We start from the raw sequence: 19,972 nt of genomic DNA on the forward strand, positions 1-19,972 counted from the left end.
TCAGCAAATGCAAAATAATGGAAATCATAACAAACAGTCACTCAGACCACAGTGCAATCAAATTAGAACTCAAGATTAAGAAACTCACTCAAAACCGCACAACTACATGGAAACTGAACAAGCTGCTCCTGAATGACCACTGGGTAAATATCGAAATGAAGGCAGAAATGAAGATGGTCTTTGAAACCAATGAGAATGAAGACACAAGGTACCAGAATCTCTGGGAAACATTTAAAGCAGTGCGTAGGGGGAAATTTATAGCACTAAATGCCCACAAGAGAAAGCAGGAAAGATCTAAAATTGACACCCTAACATCAAAATTAAAAGAACTAGAGAAGCAACAGCAAACAAATTCAAAAGCTAGCAGAAGACAAGAAATAACTAACGTCAGAGCAGAATTGCAGGAGATAAAGACACAAAAACCCTTAAAAAAAATCAATGAATCCAGGAGCTCGTTTTTTGAAAAGATCAACAAAATAGACAGTTAACCAGACTGATAAAGAAGAAAAGAGAGAATAATCAAATAGATGCAACAAAAAATGATATAGAGGATATTAACACTGATCCCACAGAAACACAAACTACCATCAGAGAATACCATAAATACCTCTATGCAAATAAACCAGAAAACCCAGAAGAAATGGATAAATTCCTGGACACATACACCCTCCCAAATCTAAAACAGGAAGAAGTCGAATCCCTGAATAGACCAATAACAAGTTCTGAAATTGAGGCAGTAATTATTAGCCTACCAACCAAAACAAGTCCAGGATCAGACGGATTCACAGCCAAATTCTACCAGAGGTACAAAGAAGAGCTGGTAACATTCCTTCTGAAACTATTCCAAACAATGGAAAAAGAGAGAATTCTCCCCAACTCATTTTATGAGGCCAGCATCATCCTGATACCAAAACCTGGCAGAGACACAACAAAAAAGGAAAATTGCAGGCTAATACCCCTGATGAACATCGATGAGAAAATCCTCAATAAAATACCGGCAAACCGATTCCAGCAGCACATCAAAAAGTTTATCCACCACGATCAAGTCGGCTTCCTCCCTGGGATGCAAGCCTGGTTCAACATAAGCAAATCAATAAACGTAATCCATCAGATAAACAGAAGCTATGACAAAAAACACATGATTATCTCAATAGATGCAGAAAAGGCCTTTGATAAAATTCAACACCCCTTCATGCTAAAAACTCTCAATAAACTAGGTATCGATAGAATGTATCTCAAAATCATAAGAGCTATTTATGGCAAACCCACAGCCAATATCATACTGAATGGGCAAAAATTGGAAACATTCCCTTTGAAAACTGGCACAAGACAAGGATGCTCTCTCTCACCATTCCTATTCAACGTAGTATTGGAAGTTCTGGCCAGGGCAATCAGGCAAGAGTAAGCAATAAAGGGTATTCAAATAGGAAGAGAGGAAATCAAATTATCTCTGTTTGCAGATGACATGACTGTATATTTAGAAAACCCCATCGTCTCAGCCTAAAATCTCCTTAAGCTGATAAGCAACTTCAGCAAAGTCTCAGCATACAAAATCAATGTGCAAAAATCACAAGCATTCCTATACACCAATAACAGACAACCAGAGAGCCAAATCATGAGTGAACTCCCATTCACAATTGCTTCAAAGAGAATAAAATACCTAGGAAAACAACTTACAAGGGATGCGAAGGACCTCTACAAGGAGAACTACAAACCACTGCTCAAGTAAATAAGAGAGGACACCAACAAATGGAAACACATTCCAAGATCATGGATAGGAAGAATAAATATCATGAAAATGGCCATACTGCCCAAGGTAATTTATAGATTCAATGCCATCCCCATCAAGCTACCAATGACTTTCTTCACAGAATTGGAAAAAACTACTTTAAAGTTCATGTGGAACCAGAGAAGAGTCTGCATTGCCAAGAAAATCCTAAGCAAAAAGAACAAAGCTGGAGGCATCAGACTACCTGACTTCAAACTATACTACAAGGCTACAGTAACCAAAACAGCATGACACTGGCACCAAAACAGATATATAGACCACTGGAACAGAACAGAGCCCTCAGAAATAACACCACACATCTACAACCAACTTATATTTGACAAACCTGACACAAGGAAGCAATGGGGAAAAGATTCCCTATATAAAAAATGGTGTTGGGAAAACTGGCTAGCCATATTCAGAATACTGAAACTGGACCCCTTCCTTAAATCTTACATAAAAAGCAACTTAAGATGGATTAAAGACTTAAACATAAGACCTAAAACCATAAAAATCCTAGAAGAAAACCTGGGCAACACCATTCAGAACATAGGCATGGGCAAAGACTTCATGTCTAAAACACCAAAAGCAATGGCAACAAAAGCCAAGATTGAGAAATGGGATCTAATTAAACTAAAGCTTCTACACAGCAAAAGAAACTATCATCAGAGTGAACAGACAACCTACAGAATGGGAGAAAATTTTTGCAATCTATCCATCTGACAAAGGGCTAATATCCAGAATCCACAAAGAACTTAAACAAATTTACAAGAAAAAAAAAACAAACGACCCCATCGAAAAGTGGGCAAAGGATATGAACAGACACTTCTCAAAAGAAGACATTTATGCAGCCAACAAACATATAAAAAAATGCTCTTCATCACTAGTCATTAGAGAAATGCAAATCAAAACTCTAGTGAGATAGCATTTCACATCAGTTAGATTGGCAATCATTAAAAAGTCAGGAAACAACAGATGCTGGAGAGGATATGGAGAAATAGGAATACTTTTACACTGTTGGTGGGAATGTAAATTAGTTCAACCATTGTGGAAGACAGTGTGGTGATTCCTCAAGGATCTAGAACTAGAAATGCCATTTGACCCAGCAATCCCATCACTGGGTATATACCCAAAGGATTATAAATCATTCTACTATAAAGACACATGCACATGCATGTTTATTGCGGTACTATTTACAATAGCAAAGACTTGGAACTAACCCAAATGCCCATCAATGATAAACTGGATAAAGAAAATGTGGCACACATACACCATGGAATACTATACAGCCATAAATAAGGATGAGTTCATGTCCTTTGTAGGGACATGGATGAAGGTGGAAATCATCATTCTCAGCAAACTATCACAAGAACAGAAAAACAAACACCACATGTTCTCACTCATAGTGGGAGTTGAACAAGGAGAACACACGGACACAGGGAGGGGAACACCACACACTGGGGCCTGTCGGTGGGTGGGGGGCTAGGGGAGGGATAGCATTAGGAGAAATACCTAATGTAGGTGACAGGTTGATGGGTGCAGCAAACCACCATAGCACATGTATACCTATGTGACAAAACTGCACATTCTGCACAAGTACCCCAGAACTTAAAGTATAACTTAAAAATTAAAACAAATAAATAAAATAAAAATAAAGCAATTTTTCAGAAAACAAAAAATTTCAAAACTCACCCAACAAAAAGAGATAATCTGAATATTTCTATAACTCTTAAATAAACTTAATTTTTAGTTCAAAATCTTTAAAAATAATCTTTAGGCCCAGAAATACTTTCACATGAGTTTCAGAAGACAAAATAATGCCAAATTTACACATTTCTTTTGGACAACAGAGGGAAGTGAACACTTCCCAAATCATTTTTCGAAGCCAGTCTTATCCTGACATCAAAACCAGGCAAAAAGAGAACAGGAAGAGAAAACTGGAAGCAATTATCTTTCACGAATATAGATGCAAAAGTTATGAGAAAAATGTTAACAAATCAAAGTTGTATATTATACACACATATATATATAAATATATGCATATACATATATACAGATGCAAACACACACATACAAACATGTAATGGCCAAGTGAGGTTTATACTGCCAATGGAAGGTTGGATTCATATATGAAGATAAATCAATGCAATACACCATTAACAGCCTAAAAAAAATCAATGTATCATATTAACTGATGCAGAAAAAATAATATTCATTGTACCTCAATAATAAAACTCTCTTCATGGTAAGAATAGAGAAGACATCTTCTACCTAGTAAAAGATATCTACCAAACAAAACAAAACAAAAAGCAACCACAAAAACAATTACAGCTAACATTTTACTGAATGGTGAAAGACAATGCAACTTCCCACTCATGATTAGAAACAAGGCATGTGTATCCATTCTCAACATTTCTAATCAGCATCATACTGGAATGTCCTAGATAATACAACAAGGCAAAAAAACTAAAATAAAATTAAAAATGGAAATTTGTCCCTATTTACAGATGATGGGATTATTTACATTGAAAATCCCAAAAAATCTACAAAACACTCAACATACAAACATGTGGGATTAGGAATGTTTCAGTACACAAGTCCTATACAACAAAAAATATACATTTATATAAACTAGCAATAAGTAATTGAATACCCATATCATAAAACAAATTTTCAATAGCTACAAAAATGAAATAATTAGGTAAGTCAAAAAGGTTTCTACAAGATCTGTATGATGCATACTATAAAATACTGATGGAAAAGATCCAGAAAAACATAAATACATGTAAAGATAAACTGAGTTCATGAACTTATGATTCAGATTAGTAAAGATATCAATTTTCTCCAAGTGGATCTATAGATTTAACTTAATTTTAATAAAACTTCATGCAGGATTTTTTTTGTAGGTTTATATATGCCAGTTTTTAAATGCTTAAAGAAAGTCGAAGAAACAAAAACAGCCAAAGGAAGTTTGAAAAATAAAATGAAATTGGAGGAATGACAGTTGCTAATTTTAAGACTTACTATACATGAGGACAGTGCTGTATTGGCAAAAGGATAAACACATACATCAGTGGAAGTGTGGAGAATCCAAATGTAGACACATTCAAATATGGCCATTTAATTTTTGATAAAAGTACAAAGACGATTTCAACAAGTCAGGCTGGAGCAATTGGACATCCAAATAAAAATGAATTTCTACACAAAAACACAAGCTGTATATAAAATGAACTCAAAATGAATCAAAGACCTTAATTTAAAACCGCAAACTATAAAACACTTACAAGAAAAGGTAGTAAAATATATTTGTGAGCTGAGGTTAGGCAAATAGTGTTTAGATATGAGAAGAAAAATGTGTAATGATAAACTGAACTTTATAAAAAATTTAAAAATATCTATGAAAATGATATTAAGTGAATAAAGCCAATAGAGAAATATAAATTAGCACATAATTAGCCAATACAGAAATGTAAGTTGAAACTATAAAAGAATATTGCTACATAACTGCCTGAGTGGTTTAAGTGAAAAATGCTGAAAATACCAAGTGTTGACAAGGCTTCAGAGCAACTCAATCTCTCATGCAAATCTGGTGGACTAAAAACTAGTACAGCCACTCTGGAAAAAAAAAATGTTAGGCAGTATTTTATAAAGAGACACACATATGTGGGAACTTCATTCTTTGGTATTCACTCAAGAAATATAAAAACTTTTGTTCATGTAAAAAACAGTACACAAATCCTTATAAAACTTTCTTTTTATATTTGCAAACAACTAGAAGCTACTGAAATGCCCATTAGTGGGTAAAAGGAGATACACACTTTGGTACATCCATATAATAGAATATAACAGCAGTAAAAAGGAATGGGATAGTTATTCATACAACTTGGGTGGATATCAAAGACATATGCTGAATGAAAAAAATCCATTCTCAAGAAGTCACATACTATATGTTTCCATTTATATGATATTCCTGAAAAGGCAAAACTATAGTGAGGGAGAATCAGTCTGTGATTGTAAGAATTAAGGACGCGTGGAAAGTGTGCCACTGAAAAGGAATAGCAAAGAGGGAGTTTATGGAATGGCGTAACTGCTGTATCCTGACTGTGCTACTGGTCACGTGAATCTCTACATGTGTTGAAATTCATGGAACTTTATACAAAAAAAATTCCCACTGAATATTTGTATGAAAATATTAATGTTAATAGTAAAAAAGAAAAATAATTATGAGAAGAATTTCTAAACTTGATTATCCATATAAAGTCTAGAATCTCATTTAAAAAATATCCCCTTGCTTATTAAAATTTCTCTACAAGTAAAAGTGCCATTTGGTCTGTGATAAGAGGAAGGAAGGAAGGAAGGAAGGAAGGGAGGGAGGGAGGGAGGGAGGGAGGGAGGGAAGGGACAAGGGAGGGAGGGAAGGAGGGAGAAGGAGGAAGGCAGGGAGATGGAAATTTATCACTAATCAAATAGAATGACAATTCTATGGTTTCAAAATTTATTTCACATGAACACAAACATTAATGAGCAGGTTCTAAATATATAACCTGAAAATACAATTGTAAGACAAATCCATTTATATATTATTATTTGTATGTTGATGTAATAAAGTGAACAGCAAAGAACTGAAAAAAAATATTTCAAATCTGAATTGTGTGTCTTTTCCACTCTTCTCTACGGCTTTGCATAGTTACCCAGATGCAGTAGCTTAAACTTTCTGACTCTTCTGTTGAAGTGATAATAAGCCACACTTTGCTGAGTTATTGTGGGGATTACATGAGAAAATGTATACTGTGATATATACTGAAATATACCATTTATATTTCTGACAACTACCAAGGAACAAATACCCTTGAGAAACATCATCGGTTAGCAATTTGATTGATGTACATTAGGTGCACTGCATTAATTGTTCAGAAGGCATACCTGTTCGGAATGGGACATTTTAGTGGAACAAAATACATATAACTAAACAACCAAATAGTAAAAGTAAACAAATATGAAGCCACGAAGTATCACAGAGACAAAAATACAAAGCCTTTCAAAAGAATTCACAATAGGCTCATTCATTTGAAGTGGAAAAAAAAGAAAAAATAAAAATAAAAATAAAATAGATTGGAATGAAAGTTTCAGCATAAATTTTCAGTGTTGTGATAGTGTATATTTACAGATAATCCAAAAAACTTCATAAAGAGTCTTCTTATGTGTATTTTTGCTATTCACTCCCACCTCTATATTCTCCTTCCCACGATACATGGAAACACATTCACAATCCAGTTTGTCACAAATTAACCGAAGGGAACTTTAGAATTAAAACCAGGCTTGCCCACATCCCTTCTCAGATGCTCTAATGGCTACCACTGTGCTTAGGGAAGAAAGGAAAAAAAAAAAAAAAGAGAGAAAGAGTCTTGGCACAATGGCTCACGCCTGTAATCCCAGCACTTTGGGAGGCCGAGGCGGGCGGATCACAAGGTCAGGAGATCGAGACTATCCTGGCTAACATGGTGAAACCCCGTCTCTACTAAAAATACAAAAAAATTAGCCGGGCGTGGTGGCGGGCGCCTGTAGTCCCAGCACTTTGGGAGGCCGAGGCGGACGGATCACCTGAAGTCAGGGTTCCACACAAGCCTGGCCAACATGGTGAAACCCCGTCTCTACTAAAAATACAAAAATTATCCGGGCGTGGTGGCGGCGCCTGTAGTCCCAGCTACTCGGGAGGTTGAGGCAGGAGACTGGCATGAACCCGGGAGGCGGAGCTTGCAGTGAGCCGAGATCGCGCCACTGCACTCCAGCCTGGGCAACACAGCGAGACTCCGTCTCAAAAAAAAAAAAACCAAACCAAACCAAAACAAACAAACAAACAAACAAACAAAAAACAGAGAGAGGGGGAGAGAAAGAGAAAATGTTTTCATGGCCTACAGTAACGGTCCTTGTTTTCCATTCACATTGGCTTCTTTTTCGTTTCCCAGATGTGTCTAACTCATTCATTCTATTCGGCCTCTGAACATGTACACTCTAGAACGCTCTCTCCATGGTTCTTAGTACAGCTAGTCTACCGGTATCCCTTGGATCTGTGTTTAGATGGCACCTTCTGTAGAGGCTTTCCGACAACCATATTTAAACGGACTTCTTTCAGTTACTGTCAACTTCATTCATATAACTTATTTGTAATTATCTAGGCTTTTTATTTATATTTGTGTGAAGTATATATCATTCCTAGAAGAATATAAGCTTCATCATTCATATCTTATTAGTTCCAGCAGTTAGAAGAATGTCTAAAATAGAAGAGAGATGTTTGCAGCATTAATTTTGTTGTTGAATTGCATTAACCTTTATTTTTTCATCAGGTAGCTTATCTTTGAATGATCCTGAGTATAAAAGGGGAAAAAAGAAAAGAAAAGAATGAATCTCAATTTATAATAGCGTTAAGGAAAAAAAATAAAATGATTAAAATATGCCCAAGCAAAAGTTGCTTTCTACATAAATATTAAGATTATATTTCTATTTAATAAAATTAGAGTTCTTTTTGAACCGAGCCCTGTTTAATACATGTTATCTGGCCTAAGCTTATTGATTTTCTTTTCTTATAAACCAAATATATGTATACCCTAACATCTAAATGTTAGTTCAAACACTTAAATTTTCACTGTAACAATGTATTTTGGTTTGCAAAAGAGAAAAGTCTACGACTGCCAAGACCATTCTTGTCAGAAATGTGATTTATTTTTAAAATATTCTGTTTCTTAAACTACAAGTGGTTTAATCAGAAAACTGATTCAGAGAAATGGCTTTCCAGACAAAATATATTGAATTAATTATTTTCTTAGAATTAACTACTTTTAATTTTTCTCCTTTATGTTGTTAAAATTTAATAAATAAAATTTACCAAAGGGAACTAAGTCATTTGGGTTTAGATGCTCACATTCTTTGGCATTAGCTTTCTGGAGACACAAGGACATTGTCCTCTCTTTATGCTTAACACCCTAGATGCATCTGTCTGTCATCTTTTTTAATTTAAACAGGCAACATTGAGGATTCTTAACAATACCTCTGACCCCTGAGAAACAGGATATATAGCAGCCCATTAATTAATTGTTTGAAATGAAGGAATATGGCACATCAAATACCATGCCTCTCTGCTCCATTGCACAGCACACCCGCGCTACACTGTCCATTTATATTTCTGACGACTACCAAAGAGCCAATACCCTTGAGAAACATCCTAAGTTAACAATTTGATTGATGTACTTTAGGCAGTCAATGACTTGTTCTATCTGGAGTATTTTCGTATTTTGCATGAAAGAAAGATGGTCAAAATATGTATCAGACCTCAAATCAAATTAAAGCCCAGAAGATTTCATTGCCATTCTGCTTTTTGTTTCATACATAAATTTACATAAAATTGAGTTACTTAAGATTTCATATCTGTTTCAATTTTCTTCCCATTTTAGACATTCTAAAATGAAAAGCGATTTAATAGAACACTGCATTAATTGTTTTAGGAGAGTTACACAATCAACTCAGCTATTTTCTAATTTAACTTCGGGAGACACTATTGTTCTTTTGCATATTCTCCCTAGTTATAATTTGTAAATTATTCACATTCATAGCCACTAAAAGAAACATTAACAGAAAGAGTGTTATCAACAGGCAGTAAAATGACAACTGGGAGGCCTGGACTTTCCTTTAATATTTTAAATGATCATTTGACCTTCATGAAGGGAATTTATCTTGCATAGTATCATTCCATAAGAATTAATAATTATATACACTGAAGACTTTTGAGTGAGGTGTCTGTCAGTTACTTTCTTTTGACACAAGTAAGCATTAAGAGTATTCCTATTGTTGGGACCAATAAAGTACTAGTACTTTTACTAATATAGTAACCATTAAGAATAATCCAGTTTATTAGATATATTAAAAGTTTGACGGTGAGTTTCTGAATACCTTTACAGAAGGTCATGTTCAACTTAAAAACCTACATTATAAAAACTGACAGAAATGTCAGTTCTGAGAAGACTGACAGCCACACTTAACATATAATATTTCTGACTTCAGAATTAAATAATTCTTATACAGATGATTGTAAATCTTGCCTTACATGTTTTCCGCCGATCTACTACACTAAGAATATCTGCATTTGGTTGAAGTTTAAGCAAATCCCTGTTGGGGGTGTTGTTGTATAAGGAATTAACTATTTTTGTCTGTGGCCCATTTGCTGTTCTTTTCCATCTCAATAGTTTGATTAATCTCTACTGGGTATTAGGAATTAGGACCTACTGTTAAAAGTTCTCAAATATCTCAATTCATTGCTGCATTTTTTCTTATGATAATTCCTGAATCCGTAACACGCCTGCAGTACCCAGTTTTCCTGTTAGTTTTGTTTTGTACTTCTTTCCTGCATGCGTTAACCAGACATTTCCTTTCCTCTATAATAATAATTCACTGTGAATCTTTCATTTTGCTGTTTAGAGACCCCTTAACATCCTTTTTTGACTATATGAATACATGTCTTTTCTGTTGAAACATAACCTAAGGGAGCAAACGTACTTTTTTATTATTATTATTCAAAAGGGTTAGTCTTATGCGCTACTAGCTCATTATTCGTTTTATTCTATTCTGTCCTTCAGTTGAACTGAATAAAAGATGCACAGAAAGATGAATCTTAAAAAGGAGAATAAGTTATCTCTTCAAGCAAATGGAATTCAGCTCACACTTCACTACAAACTCAGGTGGATAGTATAGCATTATAACTTCAATTTACTAAAATATAATATTCCTCAAATATGTTGGGAATTAAAAGGTATTTTTAATATTACATAACCTCTTTACCATATATTGCTCACATAGGTAATACCAGTATTCCAATTACTGGGGGTAGGTAGTGGTGGGGCTCAAGAAAAAAAACAAAATAAAAAAACCAAAAAAGTTTTGGTTACCTACATTTGAGGTTTACAGGGACTAATTCTTTCTGAAAGTCATGATTCATGAACATTTGAGTCTCCCTTATCACTGACCAGCCACAGGACCATAAAATGAAGCAACACACTGCTCTGTTCTCAATATTTTCAAACACTGTGCCTTTCTTTCCTACTAGATTTTTGCCTTCTAAATCAGTTACAAAATTGTATTTATCATTGTAGGCCTAAAGCTTAGCATAGTTTCTTGCTCTTCTCATGCTGATAGAAAGAATGGAAGCAAGAATGAAAGAAGAATGCAGATGAGGAGGCAGGAAGACAAAAAATGTAGGAGAAAAACAAATTGGCACAATAGTCTACCTACTTTACAAAGCTATTGTAAAGACGAAATATGTGGAAAATGCCTGAAAAAGAAAACATTATAGTAAAAATATTATGTATTTGTTTTGCTATATGCCAGGCACTATTATATGCATGTATGTATACACACAGATATATGTGTATTTTGTACATGTATATATGTGTATACATATATATGTGTGTGTGTATTTGTATGTGTATATATATGTGTGTGTTTATATACATGTATGTGTGTATATATGTATGTGCATGTGTGTGTGTGTATTCCAAGTTTTTCAACAACCCTTTGAAGTTGATGCTATAGCTTTCATATTACAGGGAGGAAACTGTGTCTCTAGGAAGAAAAGTAAACTTTCTAAGATTTCAAAGCTGGAAAGTGGCAGAAACAAGATTTTCACCCAGTCTGTCTAACCAAAGAGCACCTTATTCTAATATTCATTTAAAAATGAAATGTTATTTAATTTCAATTTGAGAAAAATTATAATCTACCTTAGTTCAAATAAGGCTAATTCATTAAAATGAGAATTTATCTATTGTATTTTTTTATCTCTCTCCTGACTTTCAACATTTCATCAAGCAAGAAAACAAGAAGGAACAAATGAATGAAAGAAAGAAGAAAGGAAAAACGGAAAGAATGAGAAAGAGAGAAGAGAAAGAGGGGAAGGGAAAAGAGAGGAAAGAAAGGAAGGGGAGTGGGAGGGAGGAGGGGGAAGGGAGGGAAGGAGGAAGGAAGAAAGGGAGGAAGGGAGGAAAGAAGGTAGGGAGGAAAAGAGAAAAGAAGGAAGGGAGGGAGGAAGGGAGGCAGGCAGGCAGGGAGGGAGGGAGAAAGGAAGGAAAGAAGGTAGAGAGGTAGGAAGGAAGGAAGAAAGGAAGGCGGGAAAGAAGGAAGAAAGGAAGGAAAGAAGGTAGAGAGGTAGGAAGGAAGGAAGAAAGGAAGGCGGGAAAGAAGGAAGAAAGGAAGGAAAGAAGGTAGAGAGGAAGGAAGGAAGGAAGAAAGGAAGGCGGGAAAGAAGGAAGAAAGGAAGGAAAGAAGGTAGAGAGGAAGGAAGGAAGGGAGGAAGGAAGGAAGGAAGGAAGGGAGGGAGGGAGGGGAAAAAGGGAAAAGAAAAGAGAAAGTCTCTTCTGTCCTCCAAGCCCACATTTTTAAACTGTCTATGGTTTCAAATATTTCTGATCATCACATTGTTGCAGATTCGAGGTGTGCATTATGAAATTTTTACTTTCTATATTTGGCATCAATTAAAAAACCTACATTATTATTTTCTAGGGTATTACTCAGATAAATTCATTTGATGATAGCTAGTGGATCTTTTGAAGATATCATTTTCAATTCAACAAAAGAATGGTTTCAGCATACTCTAAGAAATTAGAAATCAATCCCCAATATTATATATTTTATCTCCTTTATTTAACTGCTCTAGGTCATATTATTATTATTAGACAGATTCTTGCTCTGCTGCCAGGCTGGAGTGCAGTGGCACGATCTCAGCTCACTGCAACCTCCGCCTCCTGGGTCCAAGTGATTCCCCTGCCTCAGCCCCCCAGGTAGCTGGGATTACAGGCATGCGCCACCAAACCTGGCTAATATTTTGTATTTTAGTAGAGATGGGATTTCACCATGTTGGCCAAGATGGCCTCCATCTCCTGACCTCGTGATCCACCCGGCTCGTCCTCCCAAAGTTCTGGGATTACAGGCATGAGCCACTGCGCCCAGCCTCTAGGTCATATTATTAAAATTAATTGTCTAGCCTTGTCAGGTATATGTTGAAAATATTTGCCTAGATATCTAGTCCTCAGGTTCTCTCTGTACAGGGTTATAGATATATTATTTATGAATGATAAAGTAAAAAGCTATACCTAGGTTTTCGCCATAACATTGAAATTTACAACTCAGAAATCTAACATCGATTGTTTACTTCATATTCCAAATGCAAAAATTTTCAGTACAATTACAGACAATAATAGGAATTAAAATATATTTATAAATTTAATATAATCACTATATACATATACATAGTTTTAAACTAAGTGGCTACAAATACAGCTGATGCCCCTTTGTGCCCCTGCCCGACCTAACTGTGTACTTCCCCTTATGCTCATGGGCAGTGTTAATAAATTCGAGGCTTATCTTTCCATTAAAAATAGATATGTACATATGATACATTTTTCACTAAAAAATGTATATGAATTTTATCATATTGTATGTAGCCTTCTCCAAATTGTTTTCTATTCAACATTATGGATAAAGTCCTACCATTAAATAAATATTTAAATGTATAAATAAGAACTTGATAATCCTGCATCCTCTTCAACTACACAGCTCTCTTTTTCTTCTCATCTATTTTCTGTGTAGTTCCAGCTACTTGGGAGGCTGAGGCAGGGAAATCACCTGAACTCGGGAGGCGGAGCTTGCAGTGAGCCAAGACCGCATCACTGCACTCCAGCCTGGCGACAGAGCGAGACTCCGTCTCAAAAAAAAAAAAAAAAGAAAAAAAAAAAGTGTTTTCTGCAGCTGCTCTTGCTACACCCACGCCTCCCAGTTCCCTTTGTCTTTTACTCTGGTCACTCTATAGTTCTCATTAAGATTATTCATTACTTTTGCCAGATATATTTAGATATCATTTTACTTTTACTTTTCAATATAATTCAAAAATTGTTATGACTTCTTTATTCTTGATTTTTTCTCTTCTGATCAGCTCTACTCTATGATTTACAACACCACCTTAGATTTCGAACTGGATATTTACATATTTGTTTCCTGCCTATACTTTTTCTCTATCAATAATCACAGATCTAGTTTAAGCAAAGATTGTAAAAAATTCTTAGCAAATCTTATCACAAAATATTACTTGGGCTTACGGACAAATTCCCGAAACCTAATGCTTCCATCTTTCTTTCTACTGTTTAGTTCATTCTGCTGGCACTTTAAAACAAGATATATTTAAAAATAAATAATAATCTATGCAAACCAGTTTTTAGTCAAATAGAGTGCCTCTAGAAACCTACTATTTAAGAGCACTATTAAATTTTGAATTTGTTTGGTAGTCTTGAATTGTTCTCTTTCTGAAAATCTTTGGCTTATATTTCATATATTGTGTAAAACAAACCCCAACGTTGACATATTAGGGCAAAAATCACTGTAAGAGTTACAACAAAAACTACAAGAGCTGGATCTTAGAGGAGTCAACAGCTTCAGGTACAACTTGGTGAAGAATGCTGCCCGAGAACACTTCTACAAGACAGCCAAGTGGCATGGCAACCAAGTTGCCCACTTAGGCTCTCTATTTTGGAAAAGATAAATACTTGATTAAAAGAGCAGAGAGCCACCAGCACTCGGGTGTGGATATGGTTTTATGCAAAGTGTGGCATACTGTACTTCCATGGAAGTGCAAAACCACATAGTAGTAGAGTGTAAAGTCTATACCCCCAAATATCTGTGTGATCTTTGGAAAATTATACATTCTTTGTGAGTCTCAATTTCTCTACCAGTAAAATGAAAATTACAGTCATACTCACTTATTTGAGATATTTAGAAGGATTATGAATTTCAAGAATATAAATGTTCAATGTGTAAATTACAATAATTAATAAACGGTCACACTTATGATGTTAGTTTGGAAAAACTGTACTAAACTTCCCTAGATAGCTAGAGAAACAGTATATTTTGCTTATTTGGATTGTTTTATCTCTAAAAATTCAAACAAATAATACTATAGCTCTGTTTCTTCTGTGAAATTTAAAAAGCCATGTTGATGAAAGATCAAATACAAAAAGAAACTCTGTTATGCAAATAAAACTGATTTGATCGAATGGACCTTTCAAAAATAGAGTAAACACACATACACACACCAAGAATATGTGATCATATACATCCTTATGTCAAATATTTCAGTTATTCAAACACTTGTTTTATTTTAAAAATTTGGATTCTGTTTCTTTTTGTAGCAATAGCACTAAGCAAAAACAAATAGATATGTAGGCACTAAACATTGTTAATTCTGCAATAGCTGGGATTCAGCGTTTCTTAAAACATTAAACAAAATAAAACAATAAAGCTGTATTAGTTTATTTGGGCTACTATAACAAAATACCATTAATAAGGTGGCTTTTAAGCAACAGAAATTTATTTCTCGCAGTTCTGGAGATTGGAAAGTCCAAGATCAAGGCAATGATCTTGAGTTGGTATTTGATGAAGGCCTGCTTCCTCACAGACAGCATCCTTCTTCCTATATCCTCACATGGAAGAAATATTGGGGCTCTCTCAGGCCTCTTTTGTAAGGACATTAATCCCATTCATGAAGGTTCTATCCTCATGACCTAATCACCTTTCAAAGGTCTCACCGTCTAACATCATCACATTGGTGATTACATTTGAATATATGAATTTTGAGGGCACAAAAACGTTCACACCTTTGCAAAAGCCAACCAACACACATTAAGAAGCAAACAAAAACAGGATCAGTTTTCATTAGAGTACAAATCCCAAAGATTTTGAATAGGAAATAGTACATAATTTCTCTAGTTTACTTAGTTACATATATTAGTCACAGTTATGGAAAGGGTAGGCAGAAGGTCATTAATATTATTGAGCTATCTGCTGAATAGATTTTACATTAAACAAATATATAATTTGGACAAATTACTGGCTAATATATTCTTTTAGAATTAGATGCTTTGCTTAATTATCAATATTTTAAAACTGATTTATGGTAGTCTATTCTCAGTCATAGTTGTGATCATTTTAAAGTGAAGACATATACCAAATCACATCACTTCTTGGAAAAAAAACAAAAACAAAAATTCCCATCCCTCTCCTAACTCACTCAGAATAAAATCTCATGCCCCTACCTTTGCTTACCAGGTGGTCCCAGTTACTACAACCTTATGATTATTTTCCCAGACCTAAAATTCTATCTTTACTCTTTTTACTCAGTGGGCCTCAGTCACTCATCTCCTTTTTCACTTTTGAATGTGCCAATCATGCTTATTGCAGTGTTACATTTACTGTTCCTTATGGTTTGAAATTTTTTTCCTAATACATCTGAAAGACTTCTTCATTATCACTTCATTCAGGTTTCTGCTCAAATGCTTCTATATCTGGAATAGTACCTTACTCAACCCACAGTTTACCACGCTGTAAAGCAGCTTTCATCTTCATAGCTCTTATCACCATTAACATAATAGACATTGACCTGTTTACATTCTGTTTGTTCCCAGTTGAATGTAAATTCCAGGAGAGCAGGAATTTATTTCCCATTTGTATTTGCAGCACCTACGAGAGTTCTTGGCACATAATGGGAACAAAATATATATTTGTTGAATCATTCAATCAACTGAATGAATGAATGAATAATAATATAGTCATTAAGGACTTTTTAAAGTTTAAGTATTTGAAGTTGGCAATTAAAAGAATACAGATCTCTGGATAACAGGCAGATAGAAGATAAAAATACTGATTTGTGTTTTATGTCTTTAATATTTTAATTTAGATGCTAAAAATGTTGCTAGATAAAAAAGTACTCCTTGGAATCTGCTAGTATAGGTTCATGTTATTTTACCATAAAGATGATAATTATACATTCTTTATCAGCCACTAATTTAAATTCTTTAAATATGTTATAAAATTTCAGTCCTATTCACTTGCTAATTTGACATAAACTTCTTTTAAAGAAGCTACATTGTATTACATGTTATGTGTATGTCATTCTAATCTCAAGTTTAACTTTTCCTTTTTTCTACATAAATGAGTCACACAGTGTAAAAGGGAGATTTTCAAATCGTCACTAGAGATTAAAAGAGTGATCCCCTCCCTAATATGTGAAACTTGAAGGAATTAGATTAGAAAATATTTTGATGGAAAACATAGGTTGATTGTGCTGCCACAAATACCATAATTGCAAAACAAAGAGGAAGGGAAAAGGGGAAGGCACAATAGATTATTTGTATGACTCCCAATCCTGTGTTGTACATGCACACACATAAACAAACACACACAGATTCATTAGTGTATCTTGATCGTGAGTGATGCCTCCTGTCAAAAAATAGACAGACTCTGTGGAGCCCTACACAGAGGAAGAGAACTGAAGCACTACCTAGTCAGTAGCTGGGGCTACAGGTATTATGAGTGACCTGGTGAAGAGGGACTGATGGTAATGAGACATCCAATAATGCTTATTTCATAGACTGGCTTGAAAGGTCCCTTTTCTTGTCGGATTTAACCTTAACAAGCAGCCAAATCTAGGTTGTGTTGAATAAATGTAAAATTCAATGTCCTATCACCTTACAATATTACTTCTTCTCCACACAAATAACAGAATCTTTAGGAAGCTGAAAATCACAATAACTTTAATCCCTTTCCCATTGGTTTTGCTCTGATATTGAATAAGGTGTGGAGGATTTCCACAGTCACTTAGGAGCCTTACTTGGTTTCTGCTATGGAACAAAGAACACTTAGGTCTGTAAGTTTGAGCACACAGGGAAAAAAAACACAGATACAGACACGTAAAAAAACTCTAAAAGTTTAAATAGCAAAAATAGATAATAACATGTATTCCACAATAAACATGGGTCAAGTATTACTTTGAGCTTTTTATAGGTATTGAGTAATTTATTCATTTAAAAAAATCAAATATAATACTTAAAATTACAAAGGTAATTATTTCCAATTTGTCTTTTTTTATCCATATATATAGATATGGATCTATATATGAATGGATATAGTTATAACTATGTAGATATTAATTTTCTATATAAGCATTAATTAAATAGGAAATGATAGTAAACATGGCAAATTATGCCTAAATTATATTTTAAATGTTAATTTAAAAGCAGAGAATATAATTATGGCAAATAATTTAATACATTAATTTTCAAAGGAAATTCAGATTCTTGAAAAACAAACATAAAACAATTGAGGCAATTTTTCTACTTTATAGATGAGTAAATCAACTCAAAGAAAATTATATAAGTTGCTTATAAACACTTAGGAATAAAACACTTCCTAATCATGAGATAAAATGTAAAACTAGCTGGACACAGTGGCTCATTCCTATAATCGCAGCACTTTGGGGGGCTGAGATGGGCAGATCACTTGAGGTCAGGAGTTCGAGACCAGCCTCGCCAACATGGTGAAACCCCGTCTCTAATAAATTTACAAAAATTAGCTGGGTGTGATGGTGTGTGCCTGTAATCACAGCCACCCAGGAGGTTGAGGCAGGAGAATCTCCTGAAACCAGGAGGTGGAGATTACACCACCGTACTCCAGCCTGGGTAACACAGCAAGACTCTGTCTCAAAATAAATAAATTAATAAATAAATTAATTAATTAATATAATAAATAAGTAAAACAAAACATATATTAATAGTAAAACTTATATATAATTATCACAATCACATCAATATTCTATAAGTAACAGCATTCCACATTATAGAAAAAGATGATCTTTTAAAGTTATGTTTCAGATTATTATTAAATTGATAGCAACCATCAACCAAGCTATCCCAAATAAAATTAGGGAGCAATTTCATTTATGAATATAGTAGAAAATAATTTTTAATATGTCTAAAAAGTATTCAATATTATAATAAAACCTATAAAATCCAAATGTTTATTCTAATAATATGTATTATGTTGTATATTTGTATATTAAGATGTATAGTAATATATTTCACTGGTGTGATACTTTAAGGGAAGAAAATGAATGTAGATCACATCAATAGATGCTGACATATAATTTTATATAATTAAGCATGTGTTAATGAGTAAAGCAAATAATAAACTCCTGTTGGCTTAAGGGGTTATTCTTAAAAGTGGCATTAGATCTATCTGAAACCAACAGCATAAATTAATTACTACATGCGACCCTTCAAGCTCAAACACTTACAAGTAAAGCATGGAAACAAAGAATGAAAATAAATCATTTCAAAGACAAGGTTTATGAAAAAAACAACGTCTTTTGAAAAGTGTCTGTTCATATGCTTCACCCACTTTTTGATGGGGTTGTTTGTAAATCTGTTTAAGTTCTTTGTAGATTCTGGATATTAGCCCTTTGTCAGATGGATAGATTGCAAGAATTTTCTCCCATTCTGTAGGCTGCCTATTCACTCTGATGATAGTTTCTTTTGCTGTGCAGAAGCTCTTTAGTTTAATCAGACCTCATATGTCAATTTCGGCTTTTGTTGCCATTGCTTTTGGTGTTTTAGTCATGACACTTAATGCAGCCAACAAACATATGAAAAAAAGCTCATCACCACTGTTCATTAGAGAAATGCAAATCAAAACCACAATGAGATAGCATCTCACATCAGTTAGAATGGCAATCATTGAAAAGTCAGAAAACAACAAATGCTAGAGAGGATGTGGAGAAATAGGAATGCTTTCATACTGTTGGTGGGAGTGTAGATTAGTTCAACCACTGTGGAAGAGAGTGGGGTAATTCCTCAAGGATCTAGAACTAGAAATACCATTTGACCCAGCAATCCCATTAGTGGGTATATATCCAAAGGATTATAAATCATTCTACCATGAATACACATGCATACGTACGTTTACTGCAGCACTATTCACAATATCAAAGACTTGAAACCAACCCAAATGCCCATCAATGATAGACTGGATAAAGAAAATGTGGCATATATACACCATGGAATACTATGCAGCCATAAAAAAGGATGAGTTCGTGTCCTTTCCAGGGACTTGGATGAAGCTGGAAACCATCATTCTCAGCAAACTAACACAGGAACAGCAAACTAACACAGGAACAGAAAACCAAACACCGCATGTTCTCACTCATAAGTAGAAGTTTAACAATGAGAACACATTGGCACATAGAGGGGAACATCACACACCAGTGACTGGGGGTTAGGGAGCCTGTTGGGGGTTGGGGGGCAAGGGGAGGGATAGCTATAGGAGAAATACCTAATGTAGATG

At 34.5% G+C, this 19,972-nt stretch overlaps 1 long non-coding RNA gene across 6 annotated transcripts in view, besides 1 other annotated feature; it reads right to left on the reverse strand.

The window, feature by feature from the left end:
* The window catches only part of LOC105377177 (uncharacterized), a 250,124-nt gene that overhangs the window by 76,116 nt on the left and 154,036 nt on the right, over nucleotides 1-19,972 (reverse strand). For 3 of the 6 annotated variants that reach the window (XR_940991.4, XR_001740791.3, XR_001740790.3), the window contains exon 4: nucleotides 6,250-8,133. The exons of 2 other annotated variants lie outside the window; for them this stretch is intronic. This is a non-coding gene — a long non-coding RNA (uncharacterized LOC105377177). Of the gene's footprint in view, nucleotides 1-6,249; nucleotides 8,134-19,972 lie in introns of those variants that run through there. One more of the 6 variants, XR_001740792.2, reaches the window with a different exon arrangement.
* Nucleotides 13,424-13,633: a silencer, noted in NCBI's record as "fragment chr3:80658915-80659124 (GRCh37/hg19 assembly coordinates)". NCBI's record gives its function as "represses an EF-1alpha promoter that drives an FKBP-Casp9 reporter gene in an ReSE screen in HepG2 liver carcinoma cells and K562 erythroleukemia cells {active_cell/tissue: HepG2 | K562}" and the evidence as "EXISTENCE:reporter gene assay evidence [ECO:0000049][PMID:32094911]".

This window comes from Homo sapiens, chromosome 3 (genome assembly GCF_000001405.40).
Source record: "Homo sapiens chromosome 3, GRCh38.p14 Primary Assembly".
In the NCBI taxonomy this organism is placed as follows: domain Eukaryota; kingdom Metazoa; phylum Chordata; class Mammalia; order Primates; family Hominidae; genus Homo; species Homo sapiens.